The sequence below is a fragment of the Homo sapiens genome, chromosome 2 (genome assembly GCF_000001405.40).
Source record: "Homo sapiens chromosome 2, GRCh38.p14 Primary Assembly".
In the NCBI taxonomy this organism is placed as follows: Eukaryota; Metazoa; Chordata; class Mammalia; order Primates; family Hominidae; genus Homo; species Homo sapiens.
Window position 1 is genome coordinate 127,510,713 of NC_000002.12, and position 21,375 is coordinate 127,532,087.

General features: G+C 43.0%; 1 protein-coding gene across 9 annotated transcripts in view, besides 9 other annotated features; it reads right to left on the reverse strand.

The window, feature by feature from the left end:
- Nucleotides 1-16,624, reverse strand: part of IWS1 (interacts with SUPT6H, CTD assembly factor 1) — a 46,525-nt gene extending 29,901 nt beyond the window's left edge. For 5 of the 9 annotated variants that reach the window (XR_001738828.2, XM_006712626.4, XM_047444948.1 and 2 more), the window contains exons 1-2: nucleotides 15,924-16,577; nucleotides 12,964-13,079 (exon numbers count right to left, since the gene is read on the reverse strand). Coding sequence is in view for 7 of the 9 variants with exons in the window: in XM_006712626.4 (XP_006712689.1) it covers nucleotides 12,964-13,079; nucleotides 15,924-15,972 (165 nt within the window). In the remaining 2 variants the exon portion in view is untranslated. Of the gene's footprint in view, nucleotides 1-12,963; nucleotides 13,080-15,462; nucleotides 15,778-15,923 lie in introns of those variants that run through there. The other 4 variants (NM_017969.3, NM_001410923.1, XM_005263707.4 and 1 more) reach the window with 3 other exon arrangements.
- Nucleotides 3,953-4,535: an enhancer, noted in NCBI's record as "H3K4me1 hESC enhancer chr2:128272241-128272823 (GRCh37/hg19 assembly coordinates)". NCBI's record gives its function as "activates a minimal SCP1, AML or CMV promoter by ChIP-STARR-seq in primed H9 embryonic stem cells {active_cell/tissue: H9 hESC(primed)}" and the evidence as "EXISTENCE:reporter gene assay evidence [ECO:0000049][PMID:30033119]".
- Nucleotides 14,987-15,686: an enhancer, noted in NCBI's record as "NANOG-H3K27ac-H3K4me1 hESC enhancer chr2:128283275-128283974 (GRCh37/hg19 assembly coordinates)". NCBI's record gives its function as "activates a minimal SCP1, AML or CMV promoter by ChIP-STARR-seq in naive H9 embryonic stem cells {active_cell/tissue: H9 hESC(naive)}" and the evidence as "EXISTENCE:reporter gene assay evidence [ECO:0000049][PMID:30033119]".
- Nucleotides 15,017-15,096: an enhancer, noted in NCBI's record as "active region_16489". NCBI's record gives its function as "activates an Ori minimal core promoter by ATAC-STARR-seq in GM12878 lymphoblastoid cells {active_cell/tissue: GM12878}" and the evidence as "EXISTENCE:reporter gene assay evidence [ECO:0000049][PMID:35858748]".
- Nucleotides 15,107-15,166: an enhancer, noted in NCBI's record as "active region_16490". NCBI's record gives its function as "activates an Ori minimal core promoter by ATAC-STARR-seq in GM12878 lymphoblastoid cells {active_cell/tissue: GM12878}" and the evidence as "EXISTENCE:reporter gene assay evidence [ECO:0000049][PMID:35858748]".
- Nucleotides 15,347-15,456: a silencer, noted in NCBI's record as "silent region_11933". NCBI's record gives its function as "represses an Ori minimal core promoter by ATAC-STARR-seq in GM12878 lymphoblastoid cells {active_cell/tissue: GM12878}" and the evidence as "EXISTENCE:reporter gene assay evidence [ECO:0000049][PMID:35858748]".
- Nucleotides 15,697-15,756: an enhancer, noted in NCBI's record as "active region_16491". NCBI's record gives its function as "activates an Ori minimal core promoter by ATAC-STARR-seq in GM12878 lymphoblastoid cells {active_cell/tissue: GM12878}" and the evidence as "EXISTENCE:reporter gene assay evidence [ECO:0000049][PMID:35858748]".
- Nucleotides 16,017-16,066: an enhancer, noted in NCBI's record as "active region_16492". NCBI's record gives its function as "activates an Ori minimal core promoter by ATAC-STARR-seq in GM12878 lymphoblastoid cells {active_cell/tissue: GM12878}" and the evidence as "EXISTENCE:reporter gene assay evidence [ECO:0000049][PMID:35858748]".
- Nucleotides 16,098-16,271: a silencer, noted in NCBI's record as "fragment chr2:128284386-128284559 (GRCh37/hg19 assembly coordinates)". NCBI's record gives its function as "represses an EF-1alpha promoter that drives an FKBP-Casp9 reporter gene in an ReSE screen in phorbol 12-myristate 13-acetate-treated (for megakaryocytic differentiation) K562 erythroleukemia cells {active_cell/tissue: K562(+PMA)}" and the evidence as "EXISTENCE:reporter gene assay evidence [ECO:0000049][PMID:32094911]".
- Nucleotides 16,307-16,376: an enhancer, noted in NCBI's record as "active region_16493". NCBI's record gives its function as "activates an Ori minimal core promoter by ATAC-STARR-seq in GM12878 lymphoblastoid cells {active_cell/tissue: GM12878}" and the evidence as "EXISTENCE:reporter gene assay evidence [ECO:0000049][PMID:35858748]".

The window sequence follows — 21,375 nt, forward strand, 5'->3', positions numbered from 1 at the left end:
CTGGCCTCAAGTGATCCTTCCGCCTTGGCCTCCCAACCAAGTTTAAGATTTTATAATAATGATGCAAACTCTTGCCTACCTCTTTAGACTCACTTCTTTCCACTCACCATCAACCCTATGTGTTACACCAGCAGTTCCCAAACTTCAGTATGCTTAAGAATCACTTGGGGAACTTTGGAGAAAACCATACAAACTTTTGTGCTTCTCACCTCCAGATATTAATTCAGTGTATCTGGGAAAGGTGTCACAGAATCTGAATTTTGACATGTGGTCCACATGATTCTGACCACATTTTAGAAATTCTACTCCAGTTCCAGCAGAGTGGAACCACTAACTTTGCGCCTTTACAAATGCTGTTCCCTTTACCAAGAATATCTTTCTTCTACCTTGTCTTTTTCGTGCCTAAAAACTTGCCAAAAATACTCGCCCCATGAAGTCTCTTCCATCTTTCTCCCTAGGTAGAATGGATGGACTTTGTGCAACATAATGTGACAGTTAAGGCTGTGGAATTTAGAGTCAGAAAGACCTGAGGTCCAAGCCCCAGCTCTGCTATTTTCTACTATGTGATCAAAGGACATTTTCCTAACTCTTCAAAGCTTCCATGTCCTTGATCTGATGGAATTAGGAATACTATCTATACCGTAGAGGGCAGTTCTGAGGACTAAAAGCATGCAAAGCCGTTAGCACAGAGCCTGTGAATATTCAATAAATGTTATGCACCATCAGTAACAAAATCTCATTAATTATTAATTACAAAACATTCACCCCTTCAAGACTCAGCTCAAATACATCCTGTGACGTCTGCTGACCTGGTTAGCCATTCCCTCCCTTCATATCCCCATGGCATCTTGTACGCTCACACTTCACTGAAAGGTGATTTACACATTTATTTACATTTATCTGATACACTGACCTTAAGATCAGAGGCTATTCTGTAAAAATGTATCTTTTACCTGCAGCATAAAAAAGACACTCAAAATACACTCACTAAAATGAAGAAACCCCACAAGCAATGCTTAACATAAAATAAATGGAAAATAATGTTTGCATTAAACATTATTAGAATCAAAGACAAAGACTGAAAACTAAAACAGGAAAATGTAGACAGAATCAAAAGAACTAATAAGAAATAGGACAGCAATGGCCAAGACAAATCTTCTAGTTGTTTTGATGTACTCCCCCATAAGGATGCTTTCCTTATACTAACACAACCTCCTGGTGGAAAGATCCAAACAAGAGCAGACTTTTTCTTTTACTCAATTCAAGTAATGTTGGAGCTAAAGGAGTTGTCACTGACTTCAAGGGCAGATGGCTGGGCCCACTGTGCTTTGCTTACAGTCAGAGAACCATGAGAAGCCAGGTTCCATTCCCAAACAACATCTTCCTCAATGTCTCACACTCCATTTTTTCCTGTGGGACGCTCAGGAGGGTACTTCTATATATAGATAAAATCTACAGGCTTCTGGATGTTAAGATAAGCATTTCCTTTGATACATTTTCCATGAAACAGAAACCAGCTGAATCAAAACCACACAGCTAATTGGCAAAAATACTGTCTAAAAGAATATATGGTAAAAATAACAAAAACTAGAACTGGCAACTAGTTACAACTAGGTCACATTTGACGGCCACCCCTCACTTGGTGCTCAAATTGCTTTATTAAAAAGTTACATTTCCAGTGATTACTATTCGAAAAGATTTTTACAGAGTTTTCCCCCTTCTTCCCTATCTGTCCTACCACAAAAGGTGTGAAGCCATCTAACCCAAACTTAATTATTCAGCATTACCTTCCATTAAGCTATTCCATTTTCTAGCCACAACAATCATTCCTGAAATATATCAAGTCCTTCTTAATGTTAGGCCCTGTACCTGTTGCTCTTCTAGCTAGACAGAATTACCACCACCCCTATCGCCACCCCTAACCCGTTTCTCCAACTGGCAATGTCTCTCATTCTTCTGTCAGCTGAAATATCTTGGCTACTAAGCCCATCCTCCCTTCCTCTCAGTGCTTGGTATGTATCCTTTCTACAATGACGCACTATATAGTAGTCACCTATTTATAGGTCTGCCGCACCCACATGGATACCTTAAAGTTTTAAGTTTGCATTGCTATGCCTAGTAAACAATAAACATTCAAAAATGTTTATTGAAAGACATGAATAATAAATTATCACACATTATATAAACTTAAGCAAGAGTGCCAATTTTTTGGGAAATGCATTCCAATCTAAAGATTTAATTATCTGGTGGGGCACCATGGCTCACACCCATAAAACCCAGCACTTTGGGAGCGCAAGGTGGGTGGATCACCTGAGGTCAGGAGTTCAAGACCAGCCTGGCCAATAGGGTGAAACCCTGTCTCTACTAAAAATACAAAAAGTAGCTGGGTGTGGTGGCGCATGCCTGTAGTCCCAGCTACTCAGGATGCTGAGGCAAGAGAATTGCTTGAACCCAGGAAGCAGAGGTTGCAGTCAGCCAAGATCACACCACTGCATTCCAGCCTGGGTGACAGAGTGAGACTGTGTCTCAAAAAAAATAAAAAACAAAAAAAAGGTTTAATTAACTTGATTTGGAAACCATATAATAACACAGTTGGGGACAGAGAAAAAAATGTCAACTATCCAGGCTGCACATGAGGTACGGGGTAATTGGGAATACAAAATATTCAAAGAAAGATGTGTAAAACTTCTATAGGCTTCTGGATTGAGAAATCTAAACTGCAATACCTTTTCTTCAAATTTAAGAAACTATCTTTCCATGTATGCTTCCAACTAATCTATTAGGAAAAGACAATTTGATACCTAATTGTTATAATTTTTTAGTAAGGGAATATAAAGATAAAAACAGAAAAAAAAACAGCTAGTAAAGAAAGGTTTATCTTTATTCACATGAAAGGGTTCTTCGCAAGGTTCTTCTAAATCTTGAATTTTTTAGTACATTTTGAGTTAGCTCTTGCATGCTTATAAAAATGGGTTACCATATAAAATGGCATAGTATTCTACCAAATTATTTTCTTTTTTATTTGAAACATTAATGAGCACTGCAGAAATAAGACGAATGCAAATCACACCCAAAGATCACCATCATTTACATTTTAGTCCTTTCAATCTCTTCTATGTGTAAATTTACTTTAAAAAAATTAAACTAGGACCTAGAATCACAATAATAGCCTGTATCTTTCAAATAATAACAGCAGGAAGCAGACAAATTCCTAGGCAGATAGGGGTGGGTCCCTGGTGAAATGTGACCTTCAAGCCAAAGACAGCTTAAACCCTGAAAACTGAGCTGCTAAAGCACCTGACCGGAATGAGAACCTTTATTCCCGTTTGCCTGCTCTTTCCTGAGTGGTTCTTTCTGAATAATGCTAATTTTTAACTAATCAAATGTTGCCTTTCCCAAGGCTACCTACAGCCCATACTCCCCAATTCTGAGCCTATAAAAACCCCAGAGTTAGCCACACATTGGGGACAACCCACCTTTGGATAGGGGCTGCCCACTTCAAGTCCCCTTGCTGCTGATAGCTGTTCCGTCACTCAATAAAACTCTTCCCTACCCTGCTCACTCTCGGTTGTCCGTGTAACCTCATTCTTCTTGGATGCAGGAAAAGCACTTGGGACCCGCCAAACGGAGGATGCAAAAAGGGGTGTCTAACACTGTACCCCTCCCTCCCGCTTACCCAGCAATGGGGGAGAAAAAGTCGCTGGGCATGGCATACCACCGTTCACCAACGCCGTGGGCAGCAGGAACAAATAAGAGCTGTAGTGCTTCTTGAGAGCCCAGACCTCGAGACTCTCCAAAACAGGGTTGTAATATGCCCCTGCTCACCAAGCCCTTGGCAGTGGGAACTGAGCTGTGACATCCTTGGGGCTCTGCAGTTCCTGGCATCTCCGAGTTTTCAGGCACCACCACATCCCCCTCGTCTGGACACCGGTGCCTTCTATGGAAATTGCTGCGGCACACTGTGTCCAGCTGCAGCCTCACACGGAGCCAGCGCCTGTGTCGGTGCCTGGAGCTGCCCGCCCGCTGCAGCAGCTGACCCGCCTGGCTGTGTGCTGTAACCAGACCCTGCACTCACTCATTCACACACCCCTTGCCATTCCATACCTGTCTTGCCTGCAGAGGCCGGTAGCAAAAACCAAGTGCAGCCTGCCAGGCCGAGTGGGCAGGGTGAGTCCAGGCAAATCCAAGTGAGCCCAGAGCCCAGCAAGGCCCAAGCAGGGGCACTGCTGACCCCAGAGGTTTCCTGCCAACCGGAAGTGGCACTCTCCAAAAAAATCCTGCATCACAAGTAACATGTTCAATTCTCCATGTCACTAAATATTCTTTGAAAGCAATTCCAATAGCTGCATTGCCATTTTTATAAATGTTCTATTTACAGTTTAATCACTCATTTTCTACATTGTTGAGTATTTGTTTCCTTTCTTATGTTTATTACACCTCATTTGTCCATTTCAGTGTTTTCAACCCAAGGGCGGCTCTGGGTCTTCACCCAAGGGGTTAGTGGGAAATTCGAGGGGCTGTTTTTGGTCATCAATGATGGGGAGGATGTGTTACTAGCATTTCATTTAATGCCCAGTAACCAAGATGCTAAATGTCCTGTTAATATACAGGCATGCCCCCAAATATCCACAACTGGCTTGCTAAAAATCTCTTGTTCAGGAAAGCAACACAAGGCTGCTCTCTCTGGAGGTGTGGCCACAGGCAGGACCCGGAGGTCCTCACCCATACACACATAGAGGAAACTCCATGAGATGAAAGAGCTCAATGGGCCCAATACAGATTGCGCTAACAGACAAGAGAAGCATAATAGGTCCCTTTGGGATTTAAACTGGGGAATATGCAAAAGCCTGACCAATCTGTAAGAGATAAACAAGAAGTCAAACAAGGACTTTTGGCATCACAGAATGAGAAGCTCTACCGACCTCCCCAGTGAAAATTATTAAAAACAACCACTTAAAGCCTCTACAAATGGTCCTAACGGCAAAGGGCAAATGAAGAAACGCCTACACAAATTCCACAAGAGAGATTACTTGAACCAAGATCAATCCCTCCTTCCAACCTCACAATTCAGTGAGGCTGACTCCACTCCAGATTGCTGCAGCCAGAAATACAGAGTTCCTTCTCCATCCTGCTTCAGTTAGAGGGCTTCCTTCCCAGGAAGAGCAGGGCATCAGCATCTCTCATCCGGCTCCCCAGTGCCTGCTGCTGTGGCTAAGTTCCGAAAGACTGCAGTTGAGAAGTGGAGATTCCCATCTTTTGCCCAACCCTCACTTGCTTAAAGAAGGCTCTACCTTGGGTGGACCACACTGAGAATACTGGGGCCCTAATCACCCTTGGGCCGGCTTGTGAGACCATGCCAAGAGATGCAAGCTGAAAGGATTTCAGGTTACTAACTCATTCCCACTCCTCCACTCCCTACCCAGAGCTCAGTGTTTAAAAAAATACAGAAGGCAGCCTAGGCAACGTGGCAAAACTCCATGTCTACAACACAAAAATTAGCTGGGCGTGTGGTGTATGCCTGTGGTCCCAACCACTAAGGAGTCTGAGGCAGGAGAATCTCTTCAACCTGGGCAGTGAGCCGAGATCGCGTCATGGCACTCCAGCCTGGGCGACAGTGAGACTCCGCACCCCGCCCCCGCAATACACACACACAAAATAGAAAAGGAGAAAACAGCTGAATAGAATTACTAGACATAAGCTCAATGAGAAAAAAAAGAGGACTTCAACAATACTATAAATCAACTAAATCAGATATCTAAAGAAATAGGCCTGGCACAATGGCTCACACGTGTAATCCCAGTACTGCTGAGAGGCCAGGGTGGGAGGAACCACTTGAGGTCAGGAGTTCAAGACCAGCCTGGGCAACATAGCAAAATCCCTCTCCACAAAAATTTTAAAATTAGCCAGGCATGATGGTACGCAACTGTAGTCCTGGCTACTCAGAGGTATGAGGCGGGAAGACTCCTTGTGCCCAGGAGTTCAAGGTTACAATGAGCCATAATTTTTTCACATGCCCGCTGTGTCAAAGTGAGCCACAAATACACCACTGCACTCCAACCTAGGCAACAGAAGAGACCTTTTTTAAAAACAAAACAAAACCTTTATTCAACAATATATATTCTTATTAAGCGCATGGAACATTCTCCAGGATAGACTATGTGCTAGGCCCTAAAACAAACCCTGACAAATTTAAAAGAATAGCAATATACAAGGTTTGTTCCCCCACTACAATGAAATAAGATTAGAAATAGTAGGAAAAGTGTTTAGGAACAATATGAATATGAAATTAGTAAGATAATTCCATTTACTAAACATCAAAGAGAATAACATAAATTTAACAAAGAAATCGAACATGTATACACGGAAAACTATAAATCACTGTTAAAAGCAATTAAACACTTAAATAGACATCCCGTGTTCTTGGATGAACAGACTTTACACTACCAAGATGGCAATATTCCCCAAACTGGTCTACAGATTCGGTGCAATCCCCCATCAGAATCCCAGCTAACTTCTCTGCAGAAATCAACAAACTGATTCTAAAATACACAGGTAACTCCACGAGACCCAGATTGGCTAAAAGAATCTTGAAAAAGAACAAATTAGGACTCATACTCTCCAATATCAAAACATACTACAAAGCAATAGTAGTTAATACACTAGTACAGGCACAAGGATAGATGCAGACATGAGTAAGTTTTTAAAGTCCAGAAATGAAGCCATATATCCTATGGTCAACAGATTTTCAACAAGGATGCCAAGACCATCCAATGGGGAAAGAACAGTCTTCTCAACAAATGGCAATGGGATAACTAGACAGCCAATGCAAAGAATAAAACTACACCCCAAAAAGTCAGGTAATAATTGCCGACAAGAGTATGGAGAAATCAGAACACTTACACTCAGCTGGTATGAATGTAAAATGGTGTAACCACTGTGGAAAATAGTCTGGCAGTTCCTCAAATGATCACACAGAATTACGTTATGAGCCAGCAATTACCTCCCTAGGAATAAACCCAGGAGAACTGAAAACATATGTCTACAAAAAATTTGTACACAAATGTTTATAGCAGCATTATTCATAATACCAAAAGAAACAATCCAAATGTCATCAGCTGATGAATGGATAAGCAAAATATAGTATATCCATATAATGGAATATTATTTACCACAAAAAGGAATGAAGTACTCATGTGTGCTACAACATGGCTACACCCTGAAAATATTATGCTAAGTGAAATAAGTCACAAAAGACCATATTTTACCATTCCATTTGTAAGACATGTCCAGAACAAGGACTTCTATGAGACAGAAAGTATATCAGTGGTTGCTGAGGACTGTGGGGTGGGGAGGGGTAGGCAAAGGGAAGAGGAGGTTAGAAAGGTAACAGCAAAAGCGTTTCTTAGGTGATGAAATTCTAAAACCAACTGTGGCGATAGCTGGGCTACTGTGAAATACTAAAGATCACTGAATTGCACAAATTGTATAGTATGTAAATTGATCTCAATAGAGCCCTTTTTTGGGCCAGGCACGGTGCTCATACCTGTAATCCCAGCACTTTGGGAGGCCAAGGCGGGCGGATGGCTTGAGCTCAGGGGCTTGACATCACCCTAGGCAACATGGCAAAACCCCATTGCTACTATAAATACAAAAATTAGCTGGGCATACTGGCGCATGCCTGTGGTCTCAGCTACTTGGGAGGCTGAGGTCTGGATCACTTAAGCGTGGGAGGTTGAGGCTGCAGTGAGCTGTGATTGTGCCACTACACTCCAGCCCGGGCGACAGTGTAAGATTCTGCCTCAAAAAAGAAAAAGAAAAAGAAAAGCTGCTTTTTAAAGGACAGGCGATTCTTTTTTTTTTTTTTTTTTTTGAGGCAGAGTTTTGCTCTCGTTGCCCAGGCTAGAGTACAATGGCGTGATCTCAGATCACTGCAACCTCTGCCTCCCAGGTACAAGTGATTCTCCGGCCTCAGCCTCCCGAGTAGCTGGGATTATAGGAGCCTGTCACCACGCCTGGCTAATTTTTTGTATTTTTAGTAGAGACGGGGTTTCACCACCACGTTGGCCAGGCTGGTCTCGAACTCTTGACCTCAGGGGATCCACCCACCTCGGCCTCCTAAAGTGCTGGGATTACAGGCGTCAGTCACCGCACCCGGCCCAAGACAGGTGATCTTTTTAAAGATCAACGTTGGTGCAAAAAAACCCATGACGAACAAAATATTTAAAATGTGAAGACAGGATAACCAGTACTGGTTTTTCCTTTTCCCTCTGGCTCAAATATAGACCAACACAGCATTGTTACTGATCCTAACTTTAAAGATTTTGATATTTTGTTCATTTTTTTTTGCATTCATTTTGAGTTTTAAAATATCATTTATCTTGATTACTGAGTGTTTTTCAAATCTTGGAGAAAAAAATAAAGCCAACCATACAAGAATAAACAGAGATGTTATTAGAAATGGCCATTAGGCAGGGCCATCAATGACAGATGGACAGAACAAGCTACCTAGACAGAAAGATTTACAGCCCATTACATACATGTGTTACAGTAAACTCTTGTTTTCTTAAGGTAGTCTGATATGAGACTTGTTCTGTCACCTGTCTGAGATTATTTATAGACATATACAATTACTTTAAGAAAAAATAAGTTTTTTTTTTAATAACTAAAGGAGCTTTCTAATAAAGTGGTTAAGAAATCTGCAAAAGTTACTGGTCTTCAAAATCTTATCAGTATTTCCTATACTGACCACTATCTTAAAGATTGTGTGTGTGTGTGTGTGCGTGTGTGTGCACTGAGTAAATACTATAGGTGAAATGAATTTAAAAAAAATACTAGCCTAAATTCTAAAATACAGATGAGGGGTTTAAAAAAAAAAATACCATTATTGGGAAAATTATGCTGTGAGTACCATCTTATGGTAGCAAAATAATGGCCCTTCAAAAATGTCCACGTTCTAACCCTTGGAACCTGTGAATATGTCACTTTACATGCAAGGGACTGTGCAAATGTAATTAAGGTAAGGACCTTGAAATAGGGACATTACCCTGGATTATCCAGGTAGGCCCAATTATAATTACAAAGGTTCTTACAGGAGGGATACAGGAAGGTCAGAGTAAGAGAGAGATATGATGACAGAAACAAGAGGTCAGAAAATGAGTTGTGAAGATGCTATGCTGCTGGTTTTGAAGATGGAGGAAGGAGCCTCAGCCAAGAAATGCAGGTAGCCACTACAAACTGAAGAAAGCAAGGAAATGTATCTTCCCTCAGAGAAGAACACAGCCCTGGGACACCTTGATTTTAGTACAGTGTGACCCATTTTGGACTTGACCTCCAGAATTATAAGATAATAATTTTTCGTTGTTTTAAGCCACCAAGTTGTATCAAGTTGTTACAGCCTCAAGAGGAAACTAGTATCTTTCAGGCTTTGGACCTGTAATTTGTACTGCCCCATTTTTTTTGTTTTGTTTTTATTTTTGAGACATAGTCTCGCTCTGTCGCCAGGCTGGAGTGCAGTGGTGTGATCTCTACTCACTGCAACCTCCACCTCCCGGGTTCAAGAGATTCTCCTGCCTCAGCCTCCTAGGTAGCTGGGACTACAGGCGCAAACCACCATGCCTGGCTAATTTTTGTATTTTTAGTAGAGACGGGGTTTCACCATGTTGGCCAGGATGGTCTCGATCTCTTGACCTCATGATCCACCCACCTCGGCCTCCCAAAGTGCTGGGATTACAGGCAAGGGCCACCACGCCCGGCCTTTGCACTGCTTCATTTAATGCAACCGTACTCTTTTAACATCCCATTACTTCTAAAAAAAAATGTTTAATGAGAAAACAAAATGTCTTCTTAAAAGCCATTTTAAACAGGCAAAAGAACATTAATACAGAACTCAACACTTATACACAGTACAACTGGCACTCTTGAAGTACTAGTGGTTTAGCAAATTACCATAACCTTCCTGGAGAGGAATTTCTATGAAGAGCCTTAAAATGTCTTAGTCTCTAATCTCGTTAATTCTCCTGGCAGCTTTCTAAGGAAACAATAAAAAATGATCACAAATGTTTATGTACAAAAATCTTCAGGGCAGCTTCAGTTATTTAATACAATAGCTAAACAGCATAAATGACAACAATTAGAAAATTGCTGAATAAGTGATGCTGCATCCATATTGTGAAACCATTAAACATTACGCTTATTGAGAATCTTTAATGACGTGGGGAAACACTTAAAAGTATCATCTTAAGTGAAGAGATAAAAAATAATACATAGGCTGGGCACAGTGGCTCACACCTGTAATTCCAGCACTTTGGGAGGCCAAGGCCGGTGGATTACAAGGTCAGGAGTTTGAGACCAGCCTGGCCAACATGGTGAAACCCTGTCTCTACTAAAAATACTAAAAATTAGGCGTGGTAGCGCACTGTAATCCCAGCTACTCTGGAGGCTGAGGCAGGAGAATTGCTTGAACCTGGGAGGCGGAGGTTGCAGTGAGCCAAGATCATGCCACTGCACTCCAGCCTGGGACAGAGTGAGACTCTGTCTCAAAATATATACATAGAAAGACACAAAATATATATAATAACATCTCAAGTAAAGTTAAAATATATAGACGTCATATACCTGGGACAGAATGAAACTGCAGGATAAATAATGTGAAAAGGCTCATAGTCATTTCTGTAGTTGGACTATGCTGGTTTTAATTTTTTTCTTTAAACTTCACAGATGCAGGAGTGCCTCAACTTATTATGGGGTTACAGCCTGATACACCCATAGTAAGCTGAAAATATAATTAAGCCAAAAACGCATTTCATACATCTAATCTACCAAACATCACAGCTTAGCCTAGCCTACCTTAGATGTGCTCCAAACACTTACAGAGGTAAGACCTACGGTTGGACAAAATCACCCAACACAAAACCTATTTTATAATAGAATGTTGAGTATCTCATGTAATTTACTGAATACAGTGAAAAAACAGAACGGTTGTATGGGTACTCAAAGTATACATACAGCACTTGCAACATCGCAAAGTTGAAAATTTTTAAGTCAAATTATAGTTTAAGTCTGGGACAGTCTGTGATTTCCAAATTTTCAAAAACAGCCACACTTATTTATTTAGAATCCATATTATAAAAAAACAAAGATGCTTAGGGTAACCTGAACTTGTAACTGCACCATGAGGCCATGAGATGACTACCCTACTGGGCTCTAAACTGACCATGATTAATCTCTGAATGCTGTTTCCAAAGAGGAAACTTAAAATATCATGCACTAAATGCACTGGCTGTAACAACATATACATTATTAAGTAACTTCCAACTATCAATTAAAATATTGGAATTTATTCTGAATGTTTAAAAGCACAGAAAAAACCTGAGTGACATCAAAATATATAAAAGATGAGCCTTTTCCACACCCGCATTTAGTTCTCTGACCTCCCCTACCCCTTAATGACCCCATTTCAGTTCCACTGGCTCCTTGAAGATATCAAGCACACTCTCACCTTGGGGTCTTTGCCAGGGATGTTCTTCCCCTAAACGTCCATATCCACACGGCTATTCCTTTGCCTCCCTTCACACCTTGGTTCAAATGTCACTTTCTTAATAAAAGACCTATATGGTCCCTATTTAACACCAAAGCCTGCCCTCCATCCTTTGTTCTAATTATCTGTTTTCTTCACAGCATTTGTTATCTTCTAGCAGACTACACAATTAAAAAAAAATGTTTATTGCTTAATGTCTTTCTCCTCCTACTGGAAAAACAAACCTAAGAAGAGAAGGATTTTAACTTCTAGTCACTGATAAGTCCAAAGCACCTGCAAAAAGTCTGACACATATTAGGTGCTCAATAAATACCTGTTGAATGTATGATATGCTAATGTTGCTGTCAAAGGACAGAGTCAATATAATCTCTAATCACACCTACTAAAAATTGGACAATTTTCTGCATATGTGTAATCAAGAAAAATATAAGGCATAGAAAGTTCTTAAATCTTTGCATCTTTATCATTCCTATTTGTTTCAGTCGTATCTACCAAAGACTTACGGCGAACTTATTGAAAAATTTCCCAATTTTATCTTGTTAACATGATGTATAAACAGAAAGGAAAATAAAGCAGTTCTGAAATATTTATGTATTAGAGCAAATACGTTAAAATGTACACAAAACCCAATACTATTACATATTATTAAACAAAAACAGCTCTTAAAATTATATTTGCAGGCCAGGTGTGGTGGCTCACGCCTGTAATCCTAGCACTTTGAGAGGCTGAGGTGGGCAGATCACTTGAGGTCAGGAGTTTGAGATCAGCCTGGCCAACATGGTGAAACCCCATCTCTACCAAGAAAACAAAAATAGCTGGACGTGGTGGCCTGTGCCTGTAGTCCCAGCTACTCGGGAGGCTATGAGGTGGGAGGATAGCTTGAGCCCAGAGGCAGAGGCTGCAGTGAGCCGAGGTCTCACCACTGTACTCCAGCCTGTGTTACAGAGTCAGACCCTGTCTCAAAAAAAAAAGCATTATTATTACATACATTATATACACCGTAACAGTTCAAAATCAGAAGGGCAAATGCTGACATAAATGTTGACAGGTGATAACCCCCATAACTTTCTATTTCAAGTGGTGTTTCTTCAGATTGCAAATGCTCAATGCCCCACTATGACATTATTGCAGAATAGGGAAACTTAGTCAAATATCAAAGGCCGGGCCCATTTTCTGAATCAATATGCACAGTTGAAAACTGCCTAACATTTGAAATGTGACCCAATCAGAACATATTTCACTGTGATTTCAACAGTAACCAGACCATCCCTATTTATTTTTCAAGCGGTTTTCTATTAACTTATGCTCCTTTACTCTCAGAGATTAAACCCTAAACTCTGTCACAGAGATTCTGTAACTCCTATAATATAACAGATCTCACAGAACGCAAGGGAAAAGCCCTCCCAAAGATGTTGGTTAGCCAATACCTCTGAATGACGTTCTACACTTCCAGTGTCTGATCCGGAGTGTTGCTCATTTACATCATCCTCACCGTCTGACCCTGAATCCCGTTCATCCTGTACTGGGGTAGCACCACCATCATCTGATTAAAAACAAAACAAAAACCAACTTATGGTGTAAGATGAATGACATCTACAGTGAAATGAACACACTGAATCAAGAATAACGTAAGTGCAAAAGTTACCACTGAGGAAGCATTAACTAAAGTTGCTAATATTTTGAATAAGGTAATACAATACTCATACAAACACCAACAAGCATAACATGTACTGTGAAATACGTGGCAGCAAAACTACACCATAAAAACAATTTGTAGCTTAAGAAACAACACTAAACACCAAGTCAACAATTTATTTCAACTTCATGTTAAAATTGGGTCTTTCTCTCCATGGCATTTATCACCTTCTAATATACTACCTGAAGTTATTTTGTTTAACGTGGGTCTTCTTCACCTGAAAGAAAATGCCACAAGAATAGGGATTTTGGTTCACTGCTAAATCTCTGGAGCCCAGAACACTGCCTAGTACCTGATATACAGTAAGTATTTGTTTACAAATGAAGAACACAAGGAACTCCAGTCCAAAACTAGTGAAAATCCATTCAAGAAAAGCATATATAAAATGGTAAATACAAACTGTTACCTAACTTTCTTTTATATTTTTGTAGAGATGGGGTCTTGCTATGTTGCCCAGGCTGGTCTCAAACTCCTGGCCTCAAGCAATCCTCCTGCCTTTGCCTCCTAAAGTGCTGGGATTACACCCAGCCCCAATACTTTAAAAAATACAGAGTAAAATCGTATTTTAACCTATATACATGTATTACATATAATTACTTTTTTTTTTTTTGGAGACACAGTTTTGCTCTTTTGGCCCAGGCTGGAGTGCAATGGTGTGATCTCAGCTCACTGCAACCTCCACCCCCCCGGGTTCAACAAGTGATTCTCCTGCCTCAGCCTCCTGAGTAGCTGGGATTACAGGTGCCCGCCACCACGCCTGGCTAATTTTTTGTATTTTTAGTAGAGATGGGCTTCACCACGTTGGCCAGGCTGGTCTCAAACTCCTGACCTCAGGTGTTTGCCACCGTGCTCGGTCTACTTTTTAAAAAGTAACTTAAAAACACAAATGAATGGAAAAAAAACTATTCTGAAAGTATCAGGAAAGTGTTTTTTTGTTTTTGTTTTTGTTTTTGTTTTTTTTGAGACAGAGTCTTGCTCTGTCGCCCAGGCTTGGAGTGCAGTGGTGCAACTTCCGCTCACTGCAACCTCTGCCTCCCGGGCTCAGGGCTCAAAGGATCCTCCCACTTCAGCCTCCTGAGTAACTGGGACTACAGGTGTATGCCACCACACTCGGCTAATTTTTGCATTTTTTTGTAGAGACGAAGTAGGGGGGTGGGGTAGGGGCGTAGGGGGGTGGGGTACGGGCATGGGGGGTGGGGGTGGTGTTGGTCTCACTATGTTGCCCAGGCTGGTCTCGAACTCCTGGGCTCAAGCCATCGGCCGCCTACGCCTCCCAAAGTGCTGGGATTACAGGCATAATCCACCGCACCTGGCTTAGGAAAGTGTTTTTAAGCAGTGCATGCCTGGAAAACGCTTTGCAGTCATTAGAATTCACTGTCCTACGTAAGGAAAAGCAATGAACTCAAAACAGTAAAGGGCTTAACGCTTAAACAATTATTTAAGCACTCAAGTTTTCTTTTTAATTTTCAATTTTTGTGGGTACATAGAGGGTGTATTTATTTATGGTGTATTTAAGAACTTTTGTAACAGAACGCCCCAACAGGACTAGCACACAAAGGGAAAGCAAATGCGACGTGTTTCCCACACCAGGTTCTGCCTCACTTATCCTTAATCTCAGGTGCCAAGCACCGTGCCAGCAGAGTGGGCCCCAGTAACAGCTTACAGAATAAACAAACAGTAAAGAAAGGAGACCAAACTTCGGTGAGGAGGAAGAGGAACGATCTCAAGGTGGAGGAAAGGCACAAAAACCACCAGTAAGTGCCAGAAGCGCATTCCTTACTCTATGCATGCAACTGAAACATGGGTCCTGCACTTACGTCCGGTGTTGCAAGCAAGATTAAACCACTCCTAACTAGCAGTGAAAAGTCTAGGAAGGATCCCCCGCCCCAACGCCCCTTGGATTCTCCAACTACTCAACTACTGAAAACTCTCTTAACAGAAGACACCTCTCCTTCCCTGCACACAATAGGAGCTTAACATATGAAAGTGACTTCCCAATTTCAGCAAAAACCTTCGCCGATTCAGAAGAAAGCTTTCCCACCAGAATCCCCTCTCCAACGTTCTAGCTTCGACGCTTGCAGCTGGTCAGAGGGCTCTTGCCCTCCTCGGGCCGGGTCGCGGGAGGGAAGGTTTCGGGGGGCCTCCTTGCCCCCACCCGCGGGGTGCCAGGCCAAGCCCCGCCGAGTAACTGCTCCGCCTCCCAGCCCGGTCCCCCAGGTCCCTGCCCCACCTGACTGGTCGCCGCTGTAATATTCCGAGTCCATGGCAGGCGGACTCTCAGCGGGGAGTGTCCGCGCCCCGCGCCGCCCCCGTCACCTCCTTCCAGGCGGTGTGACCCCGGATGGCGCGGCTAAGTGTTCAGAGACTGCCGCCCGACCGGAGAACTTAACGGGTGCGGAGGGTAAGAAAGCGGTAGCGGCAAAGGCGAATTCTTTGACCTGGAAGCCCCGGCGGAAAAGGCCGTACCCGGCAGGCTGGCGGGCGGGCAGGCATGCGAGCCGGCGTTCTACTTCCTAGAAGCACCGCTGGGGCCAAAATGGCGTCTGCCCACGACCCTCAAAGGAATGCAGCGCGCAGGCGCCGCAACCCGTCAACCGGCCAATGAGAAGACGCAACAGCAATGACGCCAGGCACGGCCGGAAAGGAGACTCCTGGGAAAATTGAGCTGGAACTCGGGCTTTAGTTAAATACCTTCCTCGGGTGGATCCTGGTCTGACCCCCGTGGTAATAACGTTATCATTGATTCTTTATCATTTCCTAGATTCTGTGTCCGTGCCTTGTTTGAAGAGCTTTTGAGATACTCTTCCGAAAAATGAAGACCTGCTCAAATGACTTTTCCGTCATTCAGCCAAACCACTGTCTTTCCCGTCAGGCCCAGAGGCGCCTGGTTCCCGCCCGCAGTAGGCAAGAAAGCGGGCGTTGCTCACTGGGACTTGTAGTATGACGCCCGCGAGCTGTGATGCGTTACTAACTGGCGCGATCCACAGCGCCTCCTCTCCCGGCGTCTTCCTCTCTTTCATTCTAAACAACGATTTAATTTCCTTGTTAAGAAGCCATTTAGCCAACAGTAAGAAGTACACGTCTTTGCTTCCAGAAGGGTTCCCCTGATGAAACACCGGAGGAAGGTGAAGTTGAACTTTACCTGAGCCCTGTGTTCCTGGAAAACAGCGGTGATTAAGAAACCCCCTCATCTATTTGTGTTTCTGGAACGGCACACTGTAAAGAACCACCCGTCTCCATGTGACTCAGATAAAACGCGTGCAGATGACCCCCTTGTTTGCCTGTGACAAGGCCAGAGACCTTTCCCCTTTATTCTGAGCCTGTTAATAAAGCCAAACAGACCTTCCAAATTCCCGCTGATGATATCGAGTGATTAGTTGAGATTAGAACTCTCCTCCCCCCAACTTGTTAGACACAGAGAACATTTCCTGTTCACCTGACTGAAACTTCTCCTGATTGCAAAACAATCCCAACTGTCAATCATCCCACCTTCCTCCCTATAAAAGTCAAAACTACGCTGCCAAGACACTGATCATATCTGGAGTGCTCTCCCTATTGCAATAGGCTGAGTAAAATCCATTTCCTTACTTGTTCATTTTAGTCTTGGACAGAGAGGGGAACATTCTTGCCTTTGGATCGGAGGAGGGCCAGTAGAGGTTTAAGCAAAGACTCCCCAGGAGGTGTAGACATGTAGAAAAAGAGCCTTTTGTTACTACTGCAGATATCTGACCCTTCGTTAGCCAGTCAGAGTATGCTGGCAGAGCCCAATTATAGGCTCCTGAAGAGGACGTGGGAAGAGAAGAAAGGGGAGAAGTGGTTTCTCTCTGGAAATTCCCATTTTCCTGCAAGAGAGTTCATGGATATTCCTTTCCGAAGTGGTGGAAACAGCATTGAATCCAAATTCCTTCTTTTCAGCTGTGGGAATGACATCTTCTCAGGCAGTCTTGAGAATCAAAAGAACAAAGAATTAGCAATGCCCGAAACCGAATCACTTGATAGAAGATATCAAGGCTCTAAGCCCTCTTCTAAAGAGAAGGTGAGAGTACACCTGTGTAAATGGAGCAGGATTAATAGATCAAAATTCCAGGCGGAGGTTCAGTGGAAGAGAACCTTTTAGTTTCACCAGAGATGTAAGTCCAACAGTCAGGAAAGTGGTTGGGTTATAAACAATGCAATTGCCGGATGAAAATTACTGAATTTTAGCGTTAAAACTAACTGTACTGGTGGTTTGGAGAAAGGATAGAAACACTCTGGACACACAACAATGTTCTTAGCTCTAGAAGCCTGCAAAGAAGCATCAGATCTAATTTTTGTACTCAGAAAGCCAACAATTTAGTGAGACAGGACAAGTCTTTCAAATGAATACAGAGCCTTAGTTAAAGCAGTGTGGTTGTCAGTGTAAACACAGCTTACGGAGAGTTCCCAGAGCTCCTTCCTACCAGCTGGCTGTCCCTCCTGGATCCTGGTAGAGAAATTCTGTAGTGGCACAGATGTGTCTTTCTGAGTCTTGGCTGCCTTACATTTTCAGGACTGCCATCTCCTTACCCATCACACCCCACCCCAGTACAGTTGGCCCATGGCGGTGGTAGGGAGGCACCCAGAAGATAGGCTGTTTCCCACACCAAGGGTGCTAATGACAGAAGAATGGAGAGGCAAACTTGCAGCAGTCCACAATGCTTCCTCCCTTAACAGATAACCCAGAGACGCTGCATTCCCTAAGTGAATGTAAGATTTATTTGGAGACACTCTGAAGACACTGCCATCTGCTGAACATGTCAGGGAGCAAGAGGCCGCATAATATAAATAGCCTGGCACCATCAGAGCTGTAGACTGGGGGCTTAGAGCCCTAGGCTGTGGGCCTATCGCTGGGCTTATTGTACTTAGTAAGCTGGGACAAGCTACCAGCCTTCTATGAGCCTCAGTTTCCACATGTATCAAATGAGAGGGTTGAATCAGGTTTCAAGTACTCTTAGCTTTTTTCTACGTCAGAGAATCCAGGTCTCTAAGTCTGACCCAGCTTCTTGTGCTTGAGCCACTAGCAAGCCCTACCAGGGAAGACACAAATGAAACTTACTAGCTGCGTGACCTTGAGCAAGTTGCTGAACCTCTCTGTGCTTCAACGTCCTCATCTATAAGTTGGGGATAACAGTACCATTTATGTCACAGAGTTGTCATGAAGCTAAATGCACATATATAATTATAATGTATAATATGTTATATATATTACTTGTATAATATTATACATGATATAAATATATATATTATATAATGATTCCTGGGACAGAATATTGTGAAATTAAATAATTCAAACTTTTTTTTTTTTTTTGAAATGGGATCTCGCTCTGTCACCCAGGCTGGAGTGCAGTGGCACAATCTTGGTTCGCTGCAACCTTCGCCTCTTGGGTTCACGCAATTCTCGTGCTTCAGCCTCCCTAGTAGCTGGGACTACAGGTGTGCACCACCACGCCTGGCTATTTTTTGTATTTTTAGTAGAGATGGGGTTTCACCATGTTGGCCAGGCTGGTCTTGAACTCCTGGCCTCAGGTGATCCACCCACCTCGGTCTCCCAAAGTGCTAGGATTACAGACGTGAACCACTGCACCCAGCCAAATAATTCAAACTTAAAGCTGTTGGAACTTAAATTGTTCTGAGTCTTGAGAGGAATGTGACTATGCAGCCTGAGTCACATGGCATGCAGCTGCAACTTCTGCCTTTTTTCCACCTATAAATAATTGAGACTAAGTGGTGCCAGAGATAAAACCCCCTCAGATCACTGCCCCTTCTACAGAGTAATAATGTCATCTTCCTTGGGATGCAGCAATCTGTAACCAATCAAATCACTGTAACATATGCACTGTCTTGTATGGAAAATGTTATAATCCTGCTAAAATTTTTCTGTCTGTCTCTGTATAAGTAAAACCTTAACTTCTTCACTTTGGAACGCTGAACCCATTCGTTTGGAGTTGAGGTCTCCTGGGTGGCTATCCGCACACTCAAATAAACTCTATGTGTAATCATATTTTATGCATCTTACTATTTAAGATTAGCAATATATATGTTAGCTATTATCATTATTATTAGGCATTGTGAAGATACAGAAAATTAACACATGATTCCTACCTTGAGAAGCTTACAATTCATTAGGAAGTACGGCTTTGAAAAAAGAAAATGCTAAGAGGTGAATTGTGTGATGTGGGTAACAAGTACCATGGGAATTAAAAGGAGGGTGAGGCTAGAGTGAACAATCAGGTTGGCTTCCTTGGGGGAGGGTGCTTGAGGTGATATTTGAAGGACAAAGGCCGATTTGGATGGAAAGATAATGTTTCAATCATGGTAAGCTAACAATCTACCATGTAGTTATGTTGTTATAACAACATCAACAAATTTCAGTGGCTTGACTTGATAATAGTTTGTTTCTTCCTCTTGTCAATGGGCAGTGGGGTCAGTGGTGAGGTGGAGGTTGCTCTCTGCTCCTAGCAGTCATTCAGGGATCCAGGCTCTTACCATATTGTGGCTCCACCATTTCCCAGGGCCTCAGAAGCCCCTACTGGATGCTCTGCATGCCACCAGCAGATGGGAGAAGAGAGTGTGTAGAAAGGTGCAGGATATTTTAGTGGGTCTAGCCTGGAGTTAGAGCATATCACTTACCCTCATTCCATGGCCCCTTCTAATTGTGAGTGAGGCAGGGAAGAGTATGTCCACTGTGGGACCAAGAGGAAAAGGAAAGTGATCTTGGTGGATATGCAGCATTCCAGGCAAGGTTAAGAAATCCACCCCAGTACTTCTTTTCCCAGAAATAAAGTTCTCAGCAATGAGCCTAAGAGCTAGGCAAAGTATCACTATCTTCCAAGAGCTAGGCAAAGTATTACTATCGTCATAATTAGCATCATTAACTTCATTTATTTAGTTTATTGAGTTGACACGTAAGCAAGTTTTGCTTTTCCTTGTCAGTATCTCAATCTCCCCCAGGGCAATAAGATTAGTCATCAGGATATGCCATTAACCCTGGTCATGGGACAGAGGTCCCATGTTTATGGCCAGTGACCTAGGTTTAAATGCTAGGGCCTAAGACAGATTTATCCACTGGATTGCCCAAAGCCCTCTAGAGAGGAGGAGGTGACCTTTTCATTTTGTGCCCCTACTTTCCCCCTCTTGCTGCCTTGGACAAATCTCTGGGTAGTTTCCTCAGAGGGCTTATGGTGACAAAAGCACCACCAGAAATGAGTCCTTTCCTCCTGGGCTGAGACTGTGGATGCCTAGCTGGCCCATCAGGACTTTGGATCCAAGACCTTCCCAGTCTAGGAGCAGCTATCTTGAAGCTGCTGTTCCCGGAGGATGAAGTACTTGAGTTTGCCTGATGACACAGTCATCTCCTTGGCATGTCAGAACCAAGATCCTCCAGGAAGCACTCATCTTCCATGCACCCTCCCTCTGAGCCATATCTTCCTGCCATTGAAGGAGCCCAAGGGTCAGGGTCACCTCTTCCGGGAGGACATTCGTTCTGGTCTTTGTTGGCCTCCTCTTTCTCCCAGCCTCCAATGGCACCTGGGCCTGTGAACTATATATTGGTTCCCAACTGGGACTTTGTCCCCCAGAGACATTTGGCAATAATATCTGAAGACATTTTGATTTGTCACCACTAGGGGTGGGGACATAACCAATGGCTGCTGCTAAATGTTCTGCAGTACACAGGACAACGCCTCTCATTCCCCAACAAAGAACAATCTACTCCAAAACGCTAATAATGCCAAGACTGAGAAACCCTGAACTACAGGACAGAATGTGCCCTGTGATCTACTGTCTTGTACTGTGCACAACTGTGTTTCCAGGGAAGCATTTAAGCGTTGCTTCTCTTCCCAGATATTCCCTTGCCCCAGCATCTCAGAAACCAAGGCAACAAAATGGGCAAGGCCTTTCAAACCCTGGGCTAGGGCCAGCAAGTTGGGGAAACACCTTTTTTTTTTTTAAATCTCTGAAGATAGGATGTCTCATGCATCACTGGGGTGAGGAAGGAGGAGGTCTGGTTTGTCTGAGGGTTGGCGTGGTATAATACATCCCAATAAGCCCAGGCCATGGGGTCAGGTACACCCTAATTCAAACCGCACCTCTGCCACTTTTGGTTGTGTGGCCTAAGCAAGTTTCA